Source organism: Homo sapiens, chromosome 5 (assembly GCF_000001405.40).
Source record: "Homo sapiens chromosome 5, GRCh38.p14 Primary Assembly".
NCBI lineage: Eukaryota > Metazoa > Chordata > Mammalia > Primates > Hominidae > Homo > Homo sapiens.
Window position 1 is genome coordinate 161,287,438 of NC_000005.10, and position 21,192 is coordinate 161,308,629.

General features: G+C 37.2%; 1 protein-coding gene across 3 annotated transcripts in view, besides 1 other annotated feature; it reads right to left on the reverse strand.

Moving 5' to 3' along the window:
* GABRB2 (gamma-aminobutyric acid type A receptor subunit beta2) overlaps window positions 999–21,192 on the reverse strand; it is a 259,969-nt gene continuing 239,775 nt past the window's right edge. For all 3 annotated transcript variants that reach the window (NM_000813.3, NM_021911.3, NM_001371727.1), the window contains one exon: window positions 999–6,991. In NM_000813.3, the coding sequence (NP_000804.1) occupies window positions 6,644–6,991 (348 nt within the window). In that variant the 3' untranslated portion in view covers window positions 999–6,643. The remainder of the gene's footprint in view (window positions 6,992–21,192) is intronic.
* Window positions 11,937–11,996: an enhancer, noted in NCBI's record as "active region_23573". NCBI's record gives its function as "activates an Ori minimal core promoter by ATAC-STARR-seq in GM12878 lymphoblastoid cells {active_cell/tissue: GM12878}" and the evidence as "EXISTENCE:reporter gene assay evidence [ECO:0000049][PMID:35858748]".

Genomic DNA, 21,192 nt, shown 5'->3' on the forward strand with positions numbered 1-21,192 from the left:
TTAGCAGAGGCTACCAACCTGCTGCTTTGGGCATTCCAAAGTCATTGAGAGTGAAAAACACTAGGCTTGTCACTAAATGATTCACTGGAGTCAGGAGAGTTTCTCTGCCTTTGAGAGGTGCCACATAATTCAAGAAAGCAGAGACTTTGTGTTCACCATTGTTTTTTCCAGTATTAGCACACACTCTGGCAGATGGCAACCTCTTGGCACACGTCTTTTGGGAAATGTTTCTCCTAAATGAATGAGAATTGGACAAACCTGTTCCCCAGTTTTAATGATGAGGTAGAAAGAAGTTTCAAGGATGTGGGGGTAAGTCCAGCCTGGGTAGAAATCCAGGCTCTTTCTCTCTTGCTGGCAAGGAACTTACTCTTCCTGAGCTCAAGTTTCTTGTACTTTCAGGAATATGGTGAGAATTAAATGAAGATCAATTTTTAAGAAGCGATTACCCAAATGTCTTCAGCAAATATATGTTGAATGTGAACTAAATGAACACCTCATGTTTATCCCTTGTTTTCAGGATTAAAGCCAAATTTTTAATTAGTTATCCTTAATGTAAAATATCTAAACTTAAGGAATATTTACTAATTTTGGTGAAGTTTTAGATCTGGTAATAGCATTTGTGAGATATACGCAGAATCATCTGGAACGATGATAATAAAAAACAATAGCATCTACTCTTTATAGACCACTTACCACGTAGCTTGTACTGTGCTAAAGTCTTCTTTGGGGTTATTTCATTTTGCCTTCACAACTACCCTATGAAAAAGGTAAAATCATGTCTTTGCTTTATGGATAAGAAAACTGAGAGGCAGGTTGTCACTACACAATTACGCCTCAGAACTGGCAAATCAATGCTCAAATTCAAGTTTGCCTGACAGTAGGTCCCAAGTTCCCAGGCTTCTTATTTCATTTCACAAAAGCCATCATTCTACAATATAACTCATACTAACAGTTCAAACAAGAAATATTCTGAACACAATGAAACCACACACACAATCTTTTTATTTTTATTTATATTTCTTAGTTCAAGAATTACACACTAGCCAACATTATTATATATTTACATGCTGAAACTGGCTGCAATAAGTTTAAATTCAAGAAAATAATTCTTATGTGCTATTCATTTATAATCCTCATTTTTTACTATCTCATGTATCCCAGAGATTTTAATAGTCCTGTTTTTAGAAAGACATGAAAATAGATGCAATGATATCCACTGTGTTTTGCATTTTTCTAGCCATCGGAAAATGTGCATTATGTGCATATTAAGAAAGGCTACAAGGTAATTAGTAAGGCTGATAATCACTACATTGTGAAGAAACTAGAATATCACTTTTTTTTTTTATAAAAGGACAATTTAGAACTGTGCAGGGACAATATTCGTAACAGAACTATTTAAACACCCATGCAAAATAAATTAAAAATGCTGTGAGGTTTAAATTAAACTATAGGCAACTTTGTTGGGATTAATTATGTTTAAAATGACGATGGTTGAACTCAAATTATTGAACCAAAAACAAAAACAAAAACAAACTGATGGAACTGTCAACTTGCTTCAAATGGCGCAAGGACACACACATGGGCATCAGATTAGAGGATGTGACACGGCAGTGACATTTGGTTTGGGAACTCAAAGGACATACAGTTTTGTTTTTCATCATTTGAATCATATTGATCTTCATCACAAATAAAACTTCTTTAAGCAAATTAAAATTTGATGTCAGAATTTTGAATATATCTACAGAAATATTTTACTTCAATTTCCAAAAACCTAGTAGCTTTTTAAGAGTGCTGCTTTTTTTTTTTTTTTTTGTACAGATTTCTTTAGGGCAGTATCTTCATTAGCATTCTGTTCACTCCTTTCTGGTTTTTACAATGTTCCTAGTGCATTTGGAAAATATTTTTTTAAACCTTTGGTGTGAAGCAGCGTCCTTTTTTTCCCCCATTATCTCATTTTTTTTTTCCTTTTTTGTTTTTCAATAATTCTGGAGTCTTTGGTTGAAAGGAACAATACTACCTAAGGACAAAATACTATTATTAAAAAAAAAGTCTTCTAGTGTATATTGTGTAACACATTTCTGGAGCTGGTAGGAATAACCATTTTTATTTTTCTGTAGTGCCATCTATACAAACTTTTACTGTTTGAAAACTGAGATTTAAGTTGCAAACTTTGGTTTCTTGAACTCTGACATATAAAAAAGTCTATTAAGTTATCAATGATCATTTTTGCTTTTCCCAATTGCCATTTCAAAGGCTATCTCTTGTTTGTTATATTGACTACATAAATAGTAGAGTGTTTCCCATAGACGGGCAGAGAGACAGAGTGGGTGAGCAAAAGATTATGTGTGTTTGAGTGTGTGTGTGTGTGTGTGTGTGACTGTGTGTGACTGTGTGTGTGATAGCAAATTGAAACCCTTCTGTCTGGGATTCCCAAACCATTTATGCAAAAGGGTGTTTAAATTACTCTGCTGGGGGCACTGCAGTAATAGTACTTAGTAAAAAATAAATAAAAATTAAGAAAAAAACTAAACAATTATTTGTATCTATTGACTATTCATTTACAGCATGTTTAATTATTTACATATTATAACACATCAACTTAAGCCATAAACGGAATTAGCACATTGCCTTACCATAAAATACAAATTAGAAGTTAAAAATATTTAAGAAATCTGTTTTAATATTTACACACGTTCAGTGAAAGTTATGGTTGCTCACATTACATGTACTCTGTACATTTAGCCAAATGGCATGATTGCTACAGTTGTGAATACTTAGTATTTTGCCCTAACCAACATGGTGGGGTTTAGTTTTTTTTTTTTCTTCCTCTTTGGAGGAATTTTTATCATTTTTCATTTTCTTAAGACATGTTTGTTTTTGACTCACCAATGGACAATGTTATTTGTTTCCTTGAAAAAGAGAGCAATTAGACAAGCAATGTGACAACTACTTAACTTCTGATGTTCTGGGGTACAGTACTATTGTCGAGTTGAACTGTGCAATGGTTCATAAAAACTGTAGGCATTGATTTGCTGATAGAGAAATGCTCAGTACCCTGTATTACTTATTTCAGTATGTTGATTTTTGTTTGCCAAATTAAAAATACTCATATACTGGTTTAATGAAGGAAATAAAACATATTAGCTTATTCCTTTTGTTTTCCAACATATGAATGCATATATATGTATGTATGTTTATATGAATCTATATATACACATATATACATGTAGATATGTTGTAAGACCTATTTTGATGATGTTGCTTTGCCATTTTTCTTGTTGAGTATGAAGGTAATCATTAAACTGGAACACGGTTACCTATAGAAAATGGAAATTATCTTAGTTGCCAATTTAATGCAAGTCTTGCTTTAAACATGATTCATTTCCCCATTACGCATTCCACTGCTCTTTCTTTATGTGTTGTGCTTTTGTAAGCTGACAGATTTTTTTGTGTGTGTTCCTAATGCTAGAATGTAAAGTCTTTTGGTTCATAAACCATTTTTATTATTATTATTTTACTTAGCACTGCTTTTGAAGAAATGAGAAGAGAAAAGGTCTAGATGGCACTGCTTGAATCTTTTCCCCTGTTAATAAATTGTAGTAGAAAGAATTTTAACATTCCTTATGCAAACACATGATTATGTTGCATGAGTTTTCAACTCTGAAATGCATTTCATACCTACTAGCGGTCATGTACAATATATATATATACAGATTGAGATCAAAGATTTCATGTAGACTGTGCATTTTAGAGTCAGAATTTGTCCATGAATTTCACAAAGATGAAAAAACACCTTAATTGCTGGCTATCTGGCTGTTTATAATTAAAAGAAAATCTATACATATGTATAAACTGATAGTAATCCCATATCAGAACTACTAAACACACCTTTGTGGTCCTTTAGTTTAACAACTGGCTATCAAGCTGACTGGTCTTCCTAGACTTATCAGGTCTAGCACCCCTCCTCGCATTTGATGACTGCATTTCATTTCAACGAAACATATATTTAAGAACAAATTCTACATCTACTGTTATTTCTGGAGAGGCTGAGTCAGTTGTTTCTATCTCTGTGGTTACTGAGTGCCAATGTATGCTTTTTACTCTAGGGCATTGCTTCTAAGGTCCCATCTTTTTTCCTTTGCCTTGTTTCTTGTATCACTGAGAGCAGAAATGAATTCCTGGTTTTATGCTTTTGAGGCTCAAGCTGCAAAGATGCTTCTCTACACTTTGATCTGGATTGTTCTGTTGACTTTCTTGGACATCTAAAATTTTGTTGTAATCATAAATGGCAATATCAAAGATTTTTATGGCTTGTACAGTGATTGCACATAAGAGCCCACTTCTACACTTGGGCTCTGAGTTGACTCTAGAAGAGCCTTTTCAGAATGGCATTTTGGAGTTGTGCCCCTGAGTTATCAATATGTTCCTTCCTGATGTTTTTTAGTCAAACTTTACCCCCTGTTGACAAGGGGCAGGCACTTTACTTAGTGTGATGCCCCAAAATGATTGCCTAGGAGAAAGTGTGTCCTGGAGAAACATGAGGAATCTCTACTCTGAGCCTGTGAGAAGAATCTTGGTCAGATTCTGCCCAAAGATGATACTCAGAGGTGCTCAAGATTATGTAATCAAAATATAATGGCCAAGGTTTCCTACACTGGTGAAAAACAAAATACCATTCCATTTTGGGGCAAATTCAGAAAGCTGAAGGATAAAGGTTTGTTGTTGTTCTTGGACAGCTGGAATGCAAGGGCAATAGTACTCCATCATATTCCAAGCTGCTAAATCATGAAGGAAACAAGGAATCAAGAAAACATACATTATTCACAGGTGGATACTGGCTGCTATGCACAATTAGGGATATTACTCTAAAAAGAAGAGCTTTCTTTGTTTTCAAAATAGAAATAGCAAAGTCATCCTCCAAGAAAAAGTTCAATCAAATTCAACTTTAAGGAAAATTTAGCAATTCACTATTTTCTATAAGAAAAGCAAAATATGAGCCTTATATTGATAGAAGGAAGACATATTAGCTTATTCTCCTCTTGTCCAACATATGAATGCTTATGTCCAATTAGTGTAGAAAGAAGCACAATGGCATAACTTAAAAATAGAAAAAAAATACATCATGCCTGCCTGATTAACAGTTATATATTTTTCTGCAATATCAACTGAGGCTCATAACATTTATCATGTTAATGTGGCTTTGTTATTATTTTCCACTAGTTTTCATATTTTCCTTGATTAGGCAGATTGCAACATATACAATGAAAGCACTCTTAAGAAAATCAAGCCCCAAACCAATGAATGCACAAATTAACTCTCTGTGTGTTCATACTCCTTGAAGTATTATTTGCTTTGAAAAATACAATGGTGAATTTCATTGCATATAAGAAAATATAGTTCACTCAATCTCTCCAAAGCCTTACTTTGCCAGTCTCCTAAGAATATAATCAGAATTTTGGAAGCAAAAAAAAAGCTGGAGAGGACCATGAATCCTTTAAAGTGATGAACAAATCCTTCTCTTGAAATACTCTATTAAATTAAGAAATAAAATTATAGGGACAAAAATTGCAGGGACAGCTGACTTCGTCTGAGAAAAACAATCTGTTTGCTAGTTTGTGCTCTGTATTTGTATATTTGAATGACTCTGAATCTAACCTGAATATCTAAGACAATTCTCATTTCTCTAATTTTTGTATTTCATGGTTATCTTCGATTAAACTATAAAAACCTCTTTAGGTATGCTGTCAAAAGCTAGTGATGTTGGAAAAACAATCTCTCTTACTCACCCTCTGCCACTAGACACAGTATGTATAGACCAGATGCTGTGTGGAGCTGATAAGGGTCATGCTTTCTTGCTTGCTTGCTTTTTGTTACAACCGTCGTTTCTGATTTTCTACTCTGCTCTGTGTTGTTAACTCTTACTTTAACCACCTAGGAAATAGCCGTTTAGCAAAAATTTTCTTGGCCACCATGCATGATATTGTCCAGAAGTCTCCTCATCTCTAAATGCCAAAATGAAAGACATCATAGTTGATTCTCCGTGCTCAAGCAAAGGGACTGGCCAAATCGGTTTCCTGAGTCTCTGTCTTGATTCCCCTAGCCTGCTCAAATCACAAGAGAATCTTTTAGAAACCAGTGGGAATAATCTTCCCATGACACCATTATCATCTCAGTAAGAAAATCATAGATCATCTTCAAGTAATGTGTTTGCATGGCATTACAGATAATGTTTCATAAGGACAATGCCATCTCAACAGCATGCCGACCTTAAAAAGGAAGATGAGGAGTATCTGGTTATGACCAAATGACTGACAATGCTGTTGAGCCTTCTAAGAATATCTTCCAAATTATTCCCCTCTGAGTAGGCTGCATACTAAACAGACAACATGGAGCACTCAGGCTGTCTAGCCACCATGTGTAAAAATCACTTGCGTTTTAACTGGAAAACCACAAGGACCTTAGTGTATTCATTACTTAGCAGAAGCAACCCAAATGGTATGAAATGGACCACAGGATAGGCCAGCAACTAAGGTATTTTAGCGTCACTTTTGTCCTGGATTGATGTGTTTTCCAAGTCCTACATCAGGCTGTACAACTGGTTTGAGGAGGAATCTAGTCCTTGCTTCCAGTGGGAGGCCATGTTTTAGTTCACATAATAAAGCCAATAGACGATGTTGAAGAAGGAAAAAACCACTGGGAAGAATATGCGGGACCACCGATCTATGGCATTCACATCAGTCAAGTCAGGGATGGTGATTTTCAGTTGGGAGGCGCGTCTCCTCAGGCGACTTTTCTTTTGCGCCACATGTCGTTCCAGAGCATTTCGGCCAAAACTATGCCTGGGCAACCCAGCTTTCCGATACTGGATGCTGGAGGCATCATAGGCTAGCATTGTGCTTCTGGGGTCTCCAAGTCCCATCACAGCCTCAGATGTGGCCATTTCATTTTTTATCTCGAGAGTGCTCAGTAAGATGTTCTCATGGGGGTCCATCTGCAAGGGAAGAGAATCAAAAAGACAATCAGAACAATGAAGCTTTACAGGTGCTTACTAGGCAAGGCACTATGATCGGCACTTAAGGGATTTATAGGAGTGGTAAAGAGAGCTACCTTTGCGATTACATTACCAAAGTCTGAATTGAGACTCTACCACTAAAGCTATTTGAGGTTCAGTTTCTCCATTTATTAAATGATATAATAATCCAACCCTAGAGGGTTGCTGTAATGATGTAATTATATAATAGACTGTTGCTAGTATCATTTTCATTAGTTCTACTTAGGGCACGCAGAGAAATCGAAGGCATGGTACCCTTTTGAAGAATTTATAGTCTTGATATGAACACATAAAAATTAAGCTGTGCTAGGCATGCAACAGTGTTAGGAAATTAATTACTGAATTGTGCTCATAATAGTAGCCTAATTATAGATGAATTAATAACAAAACTAGAACTAAAAATAGTGGGTAACTATCAAGTACTTGCCATTTATGTCAGGCATTTTTTTGGATACAATTTCATCTAATTGATGTTTCTTAAAACCCCCAGTTATGAGATGTCACCTTAAATTTGTAATGTCAATACAAATAGGGTAAAGAAATAGTGTTGAAGAATAAAATGCAGGACATATGTGACTTGCCAAAGTAACCACAGTATTCAGAATAAGGAGGAATTCAAAAATAGGAGCATAACAGCCAGATCCACTGTTGGTGGGGAGGGCTGAGAAGAGGAAAGGGAAGAGGGTAGGATTAGAGAGGAAGCAACAAGCCTGCAGCTGACTGTGCTCAACTGAATTCTGGGCCTCAGGAGTACAATTAGTTGGCTATGCAGATAGTCAAATCACCTCTCTTGGATAATTTCTTCTTGCAAAGCTAAAAGCAAAGGATAAATAGATATCATGATTCCCAAACATTAAATTATTACATAATGTTCTTTCTTGTGTTAAGAAGGGAAGATTTGTATGCCTTATTTTTAAGAGGCCTCAACTGCTACAGATAATAAAACCTAGACAGAACAAGTTTTCATTAATAAGAGTATATTTATTTTGGTAGATAATCAAGATATACCAATTACCAGTAAAATTTCTGAAATTATAAGGAAAAAAGATGGCCAGTGATAGGCTCTGATGATATATGGAAACAAGGCATATAACCAAACGCTTAATTGGAAGATACAATGCTCTGAGCTTCATGAATTATGCAGAAAGCAAAAAAGAATGTCATTAAGATTATATATTAACAATTAACTTTCAACTGTGGTTTAATGGCCATGTATTATAAATTCAAATCTAAAATCTTTTGAGAAATAGAAGCTATGAAATATGCTGGGACATAATAATTGACCAATTAATCTCTGCCTACTGATCAGACATTCTGCATGTTTACTTTATGGTATCATTTTGCTTAGAGGAAACACTAAACAAATAGATTATTAAAATGAGTTGTGAAAGTTTATATCATTTGGAAACAAAGCTGAATAAATGTTATAAAAGATCTGCCAAGGAAGGGCCAGGTGGTGGCTTTAATGAGGGCTTCCTTGACCTACAGAAGGAAGGAACATTTAAAGGTTCCTGTTAAGTACCAGTGCTTTGCAGCAACTGATTCATTGAATGCTCACAACATTCCTTGGAAGTGGCATTTTTTCCCAGAGGTTATAGGTGAAGGCCTTCACCAAATTTCTCAAAGCCACATAGTTACTAAATGGTGGAGCTGGAATTCAAATTTTGACTATTATAGTAGAAATGCTGGGAGTGGGGAGTCCTTTCCAACACTTAAGGAAAGTAAACCTGATGGAAATGGGACACCTATCCTTTACTGTTATTTCAACAGCATGGTTGTTTTCTCTTCTTCTCTGGGTTGTTAACTTGCTTTAGTGACTTGGAAAATAACTTAATTTGCAAAATTTCCTTGGCCACCATGCATGATGTTGTTCAGAAATTTCCCTTCTTTAACCACCAGGATATTTGCTTCTCTACTGAGCAATTATAATAAGAAGAGTTATGAGTTGACACCAGACCTGGCTGAGTTCAAACTATAACATAGCAATAATGATCATAATAAAAATTATTGGCAGCTATGGATTCCTATTAAGGGAAATTTGCCTAAAGCTTAAAACAAATTATTTTTGAGTAATTTATTTAATCTTAGTGGGTTTCTGTTTCATTATCCAAATTCAAGAGTTGAATTAGGTAATTCATAAAGTTCTATTAGTTACATAATTTTTTATTCATGAATTAAAAAAAAAATGATTGAACATCCAATGTGTGTTTGGCCCTATGCCAAGCATCACAGGTACAGCGGTGAGAAAGACGGAATTGCTGCTGCATCCTAGTGGGAATAACAATCTCCAAAATAATACTGGGGTTGGAGTCAGAGTCAAAAGATTGTACTTATGGCTCTTCCGTTTGTTATTTTTGACCTGGAAAAATTACCTAATCCTTTCAATCTAGTTTCTTCTGTGGACTAAGAATAGGATTCGGGAAGACTAACTGAAATAAAATATGTGAAGAAAAACTTGGAAAAACTAAAGCACCAGGCAAAGTTGATTATTATGACATGCCATAGATGAAGTTTATTTACTTACTGGTTCCACTGACATGGCAAAAAACAACAAATAATTATACCTAAAAGAAAATTAAGTATGTTGCCCTTGTGGTGTAGATGTATGAGTGATGAAATTTCTATAGGTAAAAATCATCTCAGCCTTACTAGAGATCTTGACAGGCTGAAGTGGGAGGGTGGTAGGGTGGGGAAGGTGAGGTGTATTGAACACCTGTATCAATTTATGAAGTGCAGCTACTCCTTAGTGTCTTTCATATCAACAGAATACTTCAACTTAAAATAGACTGCTTATTTTAATTTTTATTATTTTACATTAAGTTCTGGGACACATGTGCAGAACATGCAGGTTTGTTACATAGGTATAAACGTGCCATGGTGGTTTGCTGCACCCATCAACCAGTCATCTACATTAGGTATTTCTCCTAATGCTATCCCTCCCCTAGTCCCCCACCCCCTGACAGGCCTTGGTGTGTGATGTTCCCTTCCCTGTGTCTATGTGTTCTCATTGTTCAACTCCCACTTATGAGTGAGAACATGTAGTGTTTGGTTTTCTGTTCCTATCTTAATTTGCTGAGAATGATGGTTTCCAGCTTCATCCATGTCCTTGCAAGGGATATGGACTCGTCCTTTTTTATGGCTGTATAGTATTCCATGGTATATACGTGTCACATTTTCTTTATCAAGTCTATCATTGATTGGCATTTGGGTTGGTTCCAATTCTTTGCTATTGTGAATAGTGTTGCAATAAACATATGTGTGCATGTGTCTTTATAGTAGAATGATTTATATTCTTTTGAGTATATACTCGGTAATGGGATTGCTGGGTCAAGCGGTATTTCTGGTTCTAGGTCTTTTAGGAATCGCCACACTGTCTTCCACAATGGTTGAACTAATTTACACTCCCACTAACAGTGTAAAAGTGTTCCTATTTCTCCACATCCTCTCCAGCATCTGTTGTTTCCTGACTTTTTAATGATTGCCATTCTAACTGGCCTGAGATGGTATCTCATTGTGGTTTTGATTTGCATTTCTCTAATGACCAGTGATGATGAGCTTTTTTTCACGTTTGTTGGCCACATAAATGTCTTCTTTTGGGAAGCGTCTGTTCATATCCTTCATCCACATTTTGATGGGGTTGTTTTTCTCTTGTTAATTTGTTTAAGTTCCTTATAGATTCTGGATATTAGCCCATTGTCAGATGAATAGATTCCAAACACTTTCTCCCATTCTGTAGGTTGCCTGTTCACTCTGATGATCATTTCTTTTGCTGTGCAGAAGCTCTTTAGTTTAATTAGATCCCATTTGTCAATTTTGGCTTTTGTTGCCATTACTTTTGGCATTTTAATCATGAAATCTTTGCCCGTGCCTATATTATTTACTTTATTTCTGTCTTCCCCACCATACTATACTTCTTGATGAAGAGAGACACAAAATCTGTCTCACTCATTATTCCATTCCCAAACTTCTGGCATGGCACCTGGCACATAGCAGATGCTCAATAAGTAAATATTTATTAATGGAATTAATTTTGTGAACTCTTAGTAACTCACTTCACCTCTTTGTGAGTCATCAATAAGATGGGTTTAACTTTGCAACACCAGCCTAAAGACTGGAACTTCTGGGACCACCTCTTGAGTTTCTTCCCTGCTCTAAGGCTTCTGCCTTTATTTATACAGGTCTCTTGCTAGAGCAGCATGCTCAAGTACCTGAGATCTGTAAACTGTTATTTTCCATAGTGCTACTTCCATATCAGATGCCCCTTTTTAACCCTAGAGAAAGGAACTTTGTGAGTACAATTAGAAGCCATAACTAACCATTTTACATATTGACCTCTTTCAGTTATCCCAGTATCCCTGTGGGGCAGGCACTGATCTCATGTGTGGAAAATAAGACACAGAGAGGTTAAGACACTTAATACAAGTTTATGTACTGAATAGGTGGCAGAGCAAGAAGGAGAACTGGCTATTTTTATGCTTTTTCATACTGAGGCATGGCAGCCACCCAGATAATCCCTGCAGCATTCCATGGCTCATAAAATAAGGCACTCTCAGTGCATGGTAGGGGCAGTCAACTGGAGGGGCAGGGTAGGCTTGCAAAATTTTCCTTAATGAAGGATGGATAAGAATGTCTACAGTTAAATATGTCACTAAATTTCAGAGTCCTGCTAACTGCAGCACTTGCAAGTAAAGAGAATAGACATCTGTGCTTTGCCTGTTCATCAAGCACCACGCACTCCCATTTCTGTATGGGAAACCACCACTTCCCCATTCTCAGTTACTATGTCTCTGCTGTGGGTGTAGGCCAATCAGAGCCATTCTGACACCATAATTGACTCAGCGTTGGGCTCATGCCTTTTCTGAGCCAATGGCATGCCGTGAGTCTTCAGATGGGAATAGCAGAGTAGACTCTCAAATTTTCTCCCTGGATCTGCACCTAGAAGTGAGTGGCCCCAAATCAACAGAATCTGCTGAGATGGTTCAACTGTAAGAGGAGATGCTAATTTGGAAAGAAGCCAACACTAAAATGAAGAGTCTGTGATCTAATGGTGCCTTGTGTCTATATCTGGACATATCTGACTTGCTGATGCTAAGCAAGACAGTATATTATCTTCCTTCCTTCCCCTGTCCCTTCCTCTTTCTTTCTCTCCCTCTTTCCCTCTTCCTCCTCTTCCTCCTTCTTATTCCTCTTTCTCACCTGCTCCCTTCTCTCTTTCTTTCTTAAGCCAGTATTACTTTGTTTTTCTGTTATTTGCATTCCAAAGAATCCTAACAGATTCATCTCATTTAAAGATCTCATTTAATTCATCTCATTTAAAGATCTCAACAACTCTATAAGACAGTATAGGTAGGGCAGGATGGAAATTAGAGGCATTTAATTTATAACAAAAATTTGCAAAACTCAAATTTTCTTATAACTAGGAAAATCTATTACAATAATACCATCTTCAGTATGCAGAACAGTGTTGGGTTTCAATATTTTAGGCTAGGACCTAAAGAACATAGGTGCTGCTAAATTTTAGTGGCTGACTGCTAAACTGGCATCATTTCCCTTTCTTTTCCTTGTCTTGTTTATTGTTCTTCTTTTCACTTCACAAGGTGTGAGATGTGTTGGGAGCAAAATTACAAGGTCAAGAGCAAAAGTATAGGAGATTGACAGGACCTTTTACATGTGTTTTAAAGGGTAAAAGTGGAGAAAGCCTGCACGTAAACTACCCGTAAGTTTATTGAATTTTAATCTCTTTTACTGTTTATATAAAAGAAAAAATGACTTTACAAATCTAGATGTTAAATTCAATAGCAATTATCATTCCTTTTTCTCCTTTGAAATATCTGTTTTCATAAGGTACTTTCTATTTTTAATTTTTACTTTTTTGGAGGCCTACTACACCACAGCAGAACAGCAGCAGAACAGGATACATTCCCATTTGACAGGGCAGGAAACTGAAGTTCAGAAAAATGAACTGAATTACCCAAAATCTTATGACAAATAAGTCATAGAACATTTTAACAATTCTGGGTTGTTGATGTTTATCTTAATCCAGTAATATTCCATGTTGCCTCTAGCCTGTCTTAAAATCAACCAGGGAAACCTGACTCAGGTAGTGGTTTGGTGAGGGATAGTCTATTTCAGTGCTTCCCACACTTGAATGCATATCAGACTACTCTGGAGGCCTTGTTAAAACAGGTCTGGTCTCCACTCCCAGGACTCCTAAGTGAGTAAATCTGGAATGAATCTCAGTAATCTGCATTTCTAACAAGTTCCCAGGTGATGCTGGGATGCTGGCTTGGTGTCCACACTTGGAAAACTGCTAGTCTATTGGACAGAACGACTTCAAATAAAGGAGTAGCAGAGGCCAGAGAAGTAATACACAAGCTGGAGACTGACCACAGTCCACACCACCAAGCTGAAAAACAGCTTTCATAGACAGAGAACAACATATGCAGCTTCCATTTATTGAGTATTTACTGGAGGCAGGCATTGCATTAAAGGTTTTACACAACTATCCTATTTAATGTTGATCTTGAAAGCCCTATAAACAGGATTATTAATATTCCAATTCTAAAAATGAGGAAATTGAGAATTAGGGATAGTTAGCAATTGGCCCGGAGTTACACAGTAAGCAATGGAGCTGGCATTTAACCTGTTTGTTCCAAGGTTTCTGTTCCCAATTACCAAACTATACAACTGCATTCTCAAAACTCTCCTCAATTACGAGTTCTGTCTTGGTGTGCCTTCTCTGTACCAGGCTATATTTAGGGGACTCAATTTTAGCAAATGGAAGACATAATAATGGTCACATGAATTTAGCTAATCCTTAAAATCGAGTTTCCACACCAGCCCTTTTAGACTTGCCCAAATGGATTTCCTGATTATCTTTCTCTTCACTTGAGCAGTGCAGACACAAGAGAAACCACTAAACTTTCTTTCTTTCTTTTTTTTTTTCGATTAGGACATTAAAGAAAGACAATTTCCCTTTAACCAATCAGAAGGACCATGTGGCAATCTCTATTGCCCTGGAAAACATAGAAAAATATTTATCAAATTTTTCTGTCTTGGCATTTTTGCCTATTCAAGGGGCCATGGGAATTTTGTTGTTAGTAGTTGAAACAAGAGGGAGGAAGAAGCAAAAGTAAATGAAACGAGAGGGAGGGAAGAGGTAGACTGGTGAATAAACTGCTATTCTCTGCAGATAAATTGCCTTTACAAGGACCTATGCTGCAGGCCTTGCTTCAGTACAAGGCTCCTTACCATCTGCTTTCTAGTCCAGCTTTAACTCCCAAGTCCATTCCTGACAAGGTTTTTTGGAGAGGCTCTATTAAGCATGCCAATGCCAACAAAGAAGTCTCCTGCTTCCCAGTCCAGCTTTAAATCCCAAGTCCATTCCTGACAAGGTTTTTTGGAGAGGCTCTATCAAGCATGCCGATGCCAACAAAGAAGTCTCCTGCTTCCAATTCAACTATCTATTCTGGAAATCATGCTTTATCTGGAATTATTGTGCTTATCAATCAAGAAACAAGTGCTGAAATTTTAAGATGGACTGATTTATTTGCACTAACATTCCAGAGCCTTCTCCAGATGATCCTCTGTGAATGAGGGCAGTTTGTATAGCAACTGAATCAGCTGTTCTGTTGGTTGAAAAATGGACTTCACTGCGGACTTGAATTATTTTCCAGACTGACCCATGTGATGATGGTTCTAACAACCATCATGTTAAATGTTTTGGATTAAGAAGTTTCCTTTCCCCTCTTTCTGTGTCTATCCTAACATTTTTCATGACAAGAAAAGAAACAGGCTTGGTTAACAGAGTTCCATTTTATTTAAAATATATTGTATTAAACCCTGAAGAGGGGACCTTATTTTTATATAATAATCAGTTAATTCCAAGTTTGGTTTAGGCTTGCTGCTTCCCTTCCTGCAACTTTCTTCATGGTAGGAATATACTCTGGAGAGATGTCCTTGTGATAGTCTATAGTCATATACAGAAAAACAACTCAAATCCCTCAATAACCTAACAACATCACAGGCTTACCTTGCAAAGGGGAAATGGGACTATCTGAAATCCAAGTTCACCAGTCATATCATCAAGAGAAGAGTGAGAAATTGTAAAAATCCAAGAAATCCTAACTGTGAAATTTCCAGTTACTGTGACTTGTGTGTGGGTAGAGGAGATGGTGTTTTATCTTCCATGAAATGGCACTGTGACCCAAGTGACTTGAAATGCTTAAGCAATGGACTGTTAATCCCCTGGGAATATCCAAAGCGCTCTTTCCAAAAATAGCACTCTGAGACTACCTACCATGCACTTAGTGTTTTAAGAGGTCAAAGAAAGTTCACTCAATCAGAATATGAAATGCAAATTCTATGAGAGCAAGGGAGGGCCAACATCTTTGACTCTTCAAATCTCTGTGCTGAAGAAAATGGAGCAATACCAACAAAAATTGGGAGTTTGGAACTGGAAAGTAAACAGGAAATACTGCTAAAATACCCAGGTAGTTTTATGAAAGTAATTTTTAATAAAAAATGGTAGGAATAAAAGAGTGAGAATTCTTTTTACTCTGCCTTTTTAACTTCTATTATGCAATGATAAAGTTAAATCTTACAGCCAGACTATGAGAATGGAGTTAGTACTACCAGCATTTTATAACAGCCCTTCCCATCAAAACACAGAAATTCATGGCTTGTTCGAAGCTAGGTAAGTTGTAAAACAATAATTTAAACTTATGTTTATGGATTCAAACCTATGCTTTTTCTACTAATTGTTTTCAATATATAACGAAAAGATACTTATGAAGTGGACGCTGTTGGCTCTAAGATATGATGCTATCTAGTTGTTGTTGTTTTGATTCTTAAATTTTAAATTGTAATGAGTAAGCCACCTGAATGCCTATCTTCACGTTTCCTTAGTAAACAAAACCTTTGTTAAAGAATCAAATTAATGAATTCATTCTTTATGGATCGGGGACCTATGTCATCTTCTACTTCTGACACAAAATAATTAATCTGATCAAGTGGGTAAATCAAGTGAACATGTATAGCTTTACACTGCTGTTTCAAGTGATGATGGTTTTGCAGGAAGTAAGAGGCAGATATGTGGAGTACAAAGAGAAGAGTAAGATTTTACTCTTCAAAAGATCCCAGAAGATACAGTTAATTAATTAATCTGTATTAATTGCAAGGTGGTGAGAAGACCTTCGAAAGCATGAGCTGCCAAGAGAACTGACACCCCTTTGCCTTATGGTCCTTCTCAAAGGGGTTCCTGCCCCTCTCAAAGCCCACAAACAGAATGAAAATAACACTAACCTCAGAGATGAGCGCAGGTTCTAATCCCATGTTACTGTCTCTGGCCCTCAGTGTTCTTTATTTAGATGGCCTTGTGGAATCTTCTGCTAACTCCCTCCCCCAGTTTCAATCCTCTAACTATAAGTTCAACAAATTCGTGTTTCCTTTATGATGGGAAACATGTGGGCAGGGACTGTGTCTTGTTGCTTAAGTATCCCTAAAGCTGACCATTACCGTTGGTACAAAGTAAGTATTCCAAACAATACTTACTAAATTGAATTACTGAGAGGGCTAGAGTAAGTCTGGGATCACACTTTCAAATAAGGCTAGGGAGGTCATATAAGAACGTGAAGCAGGTGTAGTGGAGATTAGGGAAAAGTTCATCCTGCAATGAACTAGACTAAAACACAAAAGCCCTTCTGAAGGACATTTAAATTCCAAACTTTAAATATTATAGTGGCCCAAATCACATCTTGGTCTAAGGGTTTAGCCCACAGGCTGCTGCATCAAATTCCTTTTCAATTTAATTTATTAAAAATTTGCCTTCCACTTCCATTTAATATAGAATTACCTACTGCCTTTAAAACATGTATGGCATAACAGAGGGATGAAGGTTAAGAAAAATTTGCCTGGCAAAAATCCCATAGTCTTGTAGCTTCCTTGCTGTGATCTTGACCCAGTGCTAGTATTTCTTTTCCACACTGTGTAGGCCTTGCTGTGGCAACTTCTCTAGTAACCCTTTGGATTAGAAATTCTTGAGGAGCCTGCTTAATTTTTTGTGGCTTGGTATCTTCCATTTCTTTTACTCTCACAGCATCAAATTCATTTCTTTTGGAAAATGGTTCCTTTCTATATATCTGTTAATTTATGTGGAATTCATTAAGAATGGTAAATAAACTATAGATCACTGATTTGTTTTTTTTTTTAAAGAATAATATTCAGGTTGAGATAGGAAGATGAATGTTAAATTTTGGGGAGAGAACAGTACATTCGAATTGTTACATTTAATATTATTAAAGCACATTTAATAAAATGCATGATGAATTGAATAATTTCTTTTAGAAGGCTAGAATTATTTCTGGGTGCCTCTTATTATAAAGTACAGGCTACTAGTTTCAATTAAGGTTGAAAGTAGGGATTCATTTTCGTTGTATGGGGAAAAAGATTGGGATCAGATTGAAAACACCTGAAGAAGGAAAAGGGGAAGAAAACTATATTTATGATATATCAATTTTTTTTTTTTTTTTTTTTTTTTTTGAGACGGAGTCTCGCTCTGTCGCCCAGGCCGGACTGCGGACTGCAGTGGCGCAATCTCGGCTCACTGCAAGCTCCGCTTCCCGGGTTCACGCCATTCTCCTGCCTCAGCCTCCCGAGTAGCTGGGACTACAGGCGCCCGCCACCGCGCCCGGCTAATTTTTTGTATTTTTAGTAGAGACGGGGTTTCACCCTGTTAGCCAGGATGGTCTCGATCTCCTGACCTCATGATCCACCCACCTCGGCCTCCCAAAGTGCTGGGACTACAGGCGTGAGCCACCACGCCCGGCCGATATATCAATTTTAATAGACATTTCTTTCATTCAAAGAAGGCATTGGCTTCAAATTATTATGAACCCTCAGGAAGTGCAGAATGAAGTTAAGTTTTGCAATGAGCTTACATAAGCTCCAAATCCTATTTTTGACAAGTTTCAGGGAGGTAGGAATGAGAATCTGCCTACCCAATCCTGATAACTCAAAGAAGTTTTAACACCTGTGAGCTTACATCCTGACAGGTGAAGGCTTGTTCTAGTTTAATTTTCATCTAGCTTATTGACTCAACTCCCAACCTGGAGAGAGATAACTGATCTAATCTTTTCATTAGCTGGTTCACACAACTCAAAAGCATTATGGGTGATGACTTGCTAAAGATTTTTGTACACACCATTTACCTAGTAATTCAAAGTATCCCAATCCACTTTTAAATAACACCACAGAGGACATTTGTTTTGGTTTCTTTCCACAAGACTGGAGACAGTCCAGTCAGTCAACCATTTCTAATGCACAGGAGTAAAGGCAGTGGGGAGAAGAGCCAAATGTTAGGAGAAAAGGAGCTATGTTTTTTTCCCTGGGATTATACATATTGTCAATGATGATGACAGTGCACATCACTAAGAGGGAAAAGGGGTGGCTGACAGCCATACTCCTTTCCCCTTTATAATCTTCCAAAATCTCTGACAGTGAGTAGTAAATGTGAAAGTGGATCATGTTAAGTTTCAAGATTTACTGACAGGTCATGACTGACTTAAAGGTTGTCATCCAAATCTTCCCAGGTCGTTGGAGGACTCATGGTTCTCTCTTGTTCATGGGTTTTGAAACTGACGTCAATCTTGTCTCAAAAAGTAATGAGGATGGGTTTGGACATACAAAACCAGTCACTGCCTCAGTTCCAGGCAAGAGGGAAATTATAACCTGCCTCTAGTTTTCTGTTGGAAGCAGAGAAGCCAAGGTTTGGTTTCTGTCGCCCTGAGGCAAGGCACTAATGTTTGAATCCTTCTAAAAATCTGACAACTTTTTCTCCCTGGAAGATATTGACTGAAAAAGAATTTCTAAGCTCAGAGACTTCACAAACCCCATCTGGACTATAAAAATTTCTACTCAGATGTATAGAGATATTTTTTTCCATATATTCCTACTCCTACCTCCTCTTGTTTTTTATTTATTTGTCCAAGAAGCCAGAAAGCTGACCTAATGCAAACCTTATGGCAGGACTCCCAGTGAACACAGAACAAAAGGTTAACAGAGAAGCAGCAGCCTTCTTTTTCATAGGTGTGTGGGGAACACAGCCAGTGGACTTCGCTTCTACAGATTCCGAGTTACATTTGGTTCTTGAATAGCAGGGGGCATGAGGGTAGTGCCAAAACAGAGATCTTGAACTGAGATGAGTTGGATGGGGAGGGTACATGGAATCTCATGGATTACTGAATCCTGTGAGAAAAAGTTTTGACACACGTTTAATGCTCAACTAGCATTGGATCTAGTAGCTGTGCTTAAAAAAATTAGAAGCACTGAAGGGAACTGACTCAGCACTAATTAATAAAACATGATGTCATCAAAATAACTCAGTGTATGCTGGTAAGCCTGTGCGCACTGTGTCCAGCAAAAGCCAAATACCTAATGCTAAGGGGAGTGTGATTATGGAACAAATGTCTTTATAACAAATATGTATGGCAAATAACTAACTGCAAAAAGCATTTATAAGCTAAAGTCAAATTCTTACTAGCGCATGGTTGATGCTAAATGATGTGCAGCTGTTTGAATAGAACCAAGGGATTTCTAATATTTGCTGCATCATATAATTGAGAGGAGGATGATCCTTCTTCCTCCTTCCTCACCACTACACAGCTCCCATCTTTCAGACCTCAGTTCAAATTCTTTTTTCATGAGGAAGTCTTTCCTGATCTTCCCTTACCTGATCAGGCGCCCCATTATAGCAATGTAGGCACTTCCTTCACTGCTCTTATTTCCATTTATAATTATATATTACTTCTAAAGGAATTTGTTTAACCTCTGTCTTCACATTAGAATGTGGTCACTGCGAGGGCAAGGCACATATTTGGTAAGGACTCAATAAATATCTGCTGAAATAATAATATAAAATCACATTTTGTAGATGGTCTTTTGAAAGTAGCATCCTGAATTCCAGTGTAGATAAGACCATTTATACAGTTTCTTAAGTGTTGAGGACATGAGGTTTGGAATCAGCTTTGAATGCTAGCTCCTCTGCTGATTAGCTATGTGAGCTTGGGCATGTTCCATTGCTTAGTTGAGCCTTCGTTTCTTCATCTTTCAAATGAAGTTCTATGACCTAATCTTAAAATGAGCAATGGTATTTGTAGGGATGTTTTAAGACTGAGAAAAAAATCATATTCTTTTTGGTGAGATAAGATAGTTATGGAGCCTACCCTCATGTCTGACATACATGGGGGTAGGTGTTAGATGTTTTGTTAGACGTGTAACAAAAGGTACCCATTGCTATGGATACTTGCAACTTTAAACTTCTCTACCTGAGAGAGAATATATAAATTCATTGATTTATATAGGCAGATAAGACTAATTCTTTTTTTTTTTTTTTGACCGAGTCTCGCTCTGTTGCCCAGGCTGGAGTGCAGTGGAGCAATCTTGGCTCACTGCAAGCTCCGCCTCCTGGGTTCATGCCATTCTCCTGCCTCAGCCTCCTGAGTAGCTGGGACTACAGGCGCCCACCACCACACCCGGCTAATTTTTTTTTGTATTTTTAGTAGAGATGGGGTTTCACCATGTTGGCCAGGATGGTCTCGATCTCCTGACCTCGTGATCTGCCCGCCTCGGCCTCACAAAGTGCTGGGATTACAGGCGTGAGCCACCATGCCCAGCTGACTAATTCTTTATATTTTCTCTCTAGCTTCTCACAGTGGATGTTGTAGTTAAATCAATCCCATCCATTGTGACAATAGTTGAGACTGACCCCCTGTTTAGGTGTAGGCCTGATTGTTTTAAGTCAGTCTTGGTACCTCCCCTCCCTTGCCAAAGATTGGTTCAGGAATGGGAAGGACTACATCAATTGAGCCAATGAAATGAAAAGAGAAAAACATTCCATGCTAATGGATAGGAAGAATCAATATCATTAAAATGGCCATACTGCCCATAAGCAACTTACAGATTCAATACTATGCATATTAAACTATCATGGATATTCTTCTCAGAACTAGAAAAAACTATCCATATAGAACCAAATTCCTAAAGTACCAAAAAGGAGCCCAAATAGCCAAGGCAATCATAAGCAAAAAGGACAAAGCTGGAGGCATCACTCTACCCGACTTCAAATTATGCTGTAGGGCTACAGT